A 4,418-nucleotide genomic window follows, 5' to 3' on the forward strand; every position below is an offset into this window, starting at 1 on the left:
TCCAGAAGAAGGCATTGTTATCACAGGAGATGACAGTTCCATGCTTGTTATTACCTGTGAAATAACAGTGGGACAAGATGTGAAGGCTGAAGTTGGTGATATTGTTGATCCTGACCCTGTGTCAGCCTAGGCTAATGTATGTCTTTGTTTTTACCAAAAAAGATTAAAAGGTTAAAAAATTAAGTAGAAATAGTTTCTAGAATGAGAATATAAGGAAAAATATTTTTGTATAGCTGAATAATGTGCTGGTGTTTTAAGCTAAGTGCTATTACAAAATAGTTGAATTTTTTAAAAAATTAAGGTTTATAAATATGAAAAAGTTCAAGACTTGAACTCAGCTTTGGATCAAGTGGATCTGATAGACACCTACAGAGCTTTCCACCCAAAAACAACAGAATATACATTCTTCTCATTGCTACACAGCACCTACTCTAAAATTGGTCACATAATCAAAAGTAAAACACTCCTCAGCAAATGCAAAAAGAACTGAAATCATAATAAACAGTCTCTCAGACCACAGCACAATCAAATTAGAAACCAAAAGTAAGAAATTCGCTCAAAACCATACAACTACATGGAAATTGAACAACCTGCTCCTGAATGACTGTTGGGTAAATTATTAAATTAAGGCAGAAATCAATAAGTTATTTGAAGCTAATGAGAATGAAGAGACAATGTATCAGAATCTTTGGGACACAGCTACAGCAGTGTAAAGAGGGAAATTTATAGCACTAAATGCCTATATCAAAACACCAGAAAAATCTCAAGTTAACAATCTAGTATCACAACTAAAAGAACTAGAGAAACAAAAACAAATCCCAAAGCTAGCAGAAGACAAGAAATAACCAAGATCGGAGCTGAACTGAAGGAGAGAGAGACACACAAAACCCTTCAAAACGTTAATGAATCTAGGAGCTGTTTTTTTGAAAGAATTAATAAAATAGAACACTATCTAGACTAATAGAGAAGAAGAGAGAGAAGAATCAAATAAACAAATCAGAAATAACAAGGGTGATATTACCACTGGCCCCACAGAAATACAAACAACAATCAGAGAATACTACGAACACCTCTATGCAAATAAACTAGAAAATCTAGAAGAAGTTGATAAATTCCTGCCCACATACACCCTCCCAAGACTGAACCAGGAAGAAATTGAAACTCTTAGCAGGCCAGTAATGAGTTCTGAAGTTGAGGCAATAAATAGCCTACCAACCAAAAAAAGCCGAGGACCAGACAGATTGATAGCTGAATTCTATCAAAAGTACAAAGGAGAGCTGGTACCATTTTCACTAAAACTATTCCAAACAATTGAAAAGGGGGGACTCTTCCCTAACTCATTTTAAAAGGCCAGCATCATCCTGATACCAAAACTTGGCAGAGATATAACAAAAAAAGAAAACTTCGGGCCATGCATGATGAACATCAATGCAACAATCCTCAATAAAATTCTGGCAAACCGAATCCAGCAGCACATCAAAAAGCTTATTCATCACAATCAAGTTGGCTTCATCCCCAGGATGCAAGGTTGGTTCAACATACACAAATCAATAAATGCGATTCATAACATAAACAGAACTAAAGAAAAAAACCACATGATTATCTCAATAGATGCAGAAAAGGCACTTGATAAAATTCAATATACTTTCATGTTAAAAACTCTTAATAAACTAGGTGTTGAAGGAAGAGATCTCAAAATAATAAGGGCAATATATGACAAACCCACAGCCAATATCATACTGAATGGGCAAAAGCTGGAAACATTCCCCTTGAAAACCGGCACCAGACAAGCCTCTCACCACTTATATTAGTTTCACCATCATGAGAACAGCAGTTTCTTAAGCTGATAAGGAACTTCAGCAACGTCTCAGGATACAGAATGTGCAAAAATCGCTAGCATTCCTATATACCAACAACAGGCAAGCAGAGAGCCAAATCATCAACTCCCATTCACAATTCCTACAGAAAGAATGAAATACCTAGGAATACAGCTAACAAGGGAAGTGAAGGACCTCTTCAAGGAGAACTACAAACCACTGCTCAAAGAAAAATCAGAGAGGATACAAACAAATAGGATAACATTCCATGTTCATGGATAGGAAGAATCCATATCATGAAAATGGCCATACTGCCCAAAGTAATTTGTAGATGTGATGCTATTCCCATTAAACTATCATAGACATTCTTCACAGAATTAGAAGAAAAAAAAACACTATTTTTTTTTTTAAGATAGAGTCTTGCTCTGTCACCCAGGCTGGAGTGCAGTGGCGTGATCTCGGCTCACTGCAACCTCCGCGTCCCCAGGTTCAAGCGATTCTCCTGCCTCAACCTCCCAAGTAGCTGGGATTGCAAATGCGCACCACCACGCCCAGCTAATTTTTGTATTTTTAGTAGAGATGGGGTTTCACAATGTTGGCCAGGCTAGTCTTGAACTCCTGACCTCATGATCTGTCCACCTCAGCCTCCCAAAGTGCTGGGATTATAGGCGTGGGCCACTGCGCCTAGCCTGAAAAAAAAAACAAAACTATTTTTAAATTCATATGGAACCAAAAAAAGAGCCTGAATAGCCAAGACAATTCTAAGCAAAAAGAACAAAACTGGAGGCATCACATTACCTGACTTCAAACTATACTACAAGGTTACAATACTAAAACAGCATGGTACTGATACAAAAACAGATACATAGACCAATGGAACAGAATAAAGAACTGTGAAATAAGATCACACACCTACAACCATCTGATCTTTGACAAGTCTGACCAAAACAAGTAATGGGGAAAGAATTCCCTATTTAATAAATGGTGCTGGGAGAACTGGCTTGCCATATGCAGAAAATTGAAACTAGGCCCGTTCCTTAAACTATATACAAAAATTAATTCAAGATGGATTAAAGACTTAAATGTAAAACCCAAAACTATAAAAACGCTAGAAGAAAATCTATGCAATACTCTTCAGAACATAGGCATGGGCAAAGATTTCATGATGAAGACTCCAAAAGCAATTGCAACAAAAGCAAAAATTGACTAATGGAATTAATTAAACTAAAGAGCTTCTGCACAGCAAAGGAAACTATCAGCAGAGTGAATAGACAACCTGCAGAATAGGAGAAGATTTTTGCAATCTATACATCTGACAAAGGTCTAATATCCAGAGTTTACAAGGAGCTTCAGCAAATTTACAAGAAAAAAACAAACAACCCCATTAAAAAGTAGGCAAAGGACATGAGCAGACACCTCTCAAAAAAAGACATACATGCAGCCAACAAACATATGAGAAAAGTTGAACATCACTGATAATTAGAGAAATGCAAATAAAAACCACAATGAGATACCAGAGTGGCTATTAATAAGTCAAAAAACAAGAGATGCTGGTGAAGTCACAGAGAAAAAGCAATGCTTTCACACTGTTGGTGGAAATGTAAATTCGTTCAACCATTGTGGAAGACAGTGTGGTGATTCCTCAAAAACCTAGAGGCAGAAATTGACCTAGCAATCTCATTACTGGATACATACCCAAAGGAATATAAATCATTCTATTATAAAGATATATACACGCATATGTTCATTGCAGCACTATTCACAATAGCAAAGACATGGAATCAACATAAATGCCCATCAATGATAGACTGGATAAAGAAAATGTGGTACATATACAACATGGAATGCGATGCAGCCACATAAAGGAATAAGACCATGTCCTTTGCAGGGACATGAATGGAGTGGGAAGCCATTATCCTCAGCAAACTGACCCAGGAACAGAAAACAAAACACCATGTGTTCTCACTTATAAGTGGGAGCTGAATGATGACAACACATGGATACATGGGGGAGAACAACACACACTGGGGTCTGTTAGAGGGCATGGGGCTGGGGGAGGGAAGCACCAGGAAGAATAGCCAATGGATGTTGGCCTTAATACCTAGGTGATGGGACGATCTCTGCAGCAAACCACCATGGCACACATTTACCTACGTAACAAACCTGCACATTCTGTACATGTACCCCTGAACTTAAAAAAAGGGTGGAGAAAAAAAGATTAAAAAGTTACAGTAAGCTAAGATTAATTTATTATTAAAGAAAGAAAATGATTTTTAAAATTAATTTAGTGTAGCCTAAATGTACAGTGTTTATAAAGTCTAAGTAGTGTATAGTAATGCCCTAGACTTCACATTCACTCGCCACTCACTGACACCCAGAGCAATTTCCAGTCCTGTAAGCTCCATTCATGGTAAGTGCTCTAGACAAATGTGCCAGTTTTTAAAAAATCTTTTAACCACATTTTTGTGGCAAAATTTTGTGGGAAAATTCAAAGTCTTTTTTCTACTGTTCTTACACCCCAACAACTATCAACACAGAAGGCTTCTGCGATGAAATGTAGGGGATTTCTCCCCAAAAACAAGCAAACAATTGGTTCTGTTA

This window comes from Homo sapiens, chromosome 6 (assembly GCF_000001405.40).
Source record: "Homo sapiens chromosome 6, GRCh38.p14 Primary Assembly".
Lineage (NCBI taxonomy): Eukaryota > Metazoa > Chordata > Mammalia > Primates > Hominidae > Homo > Homo sapiens.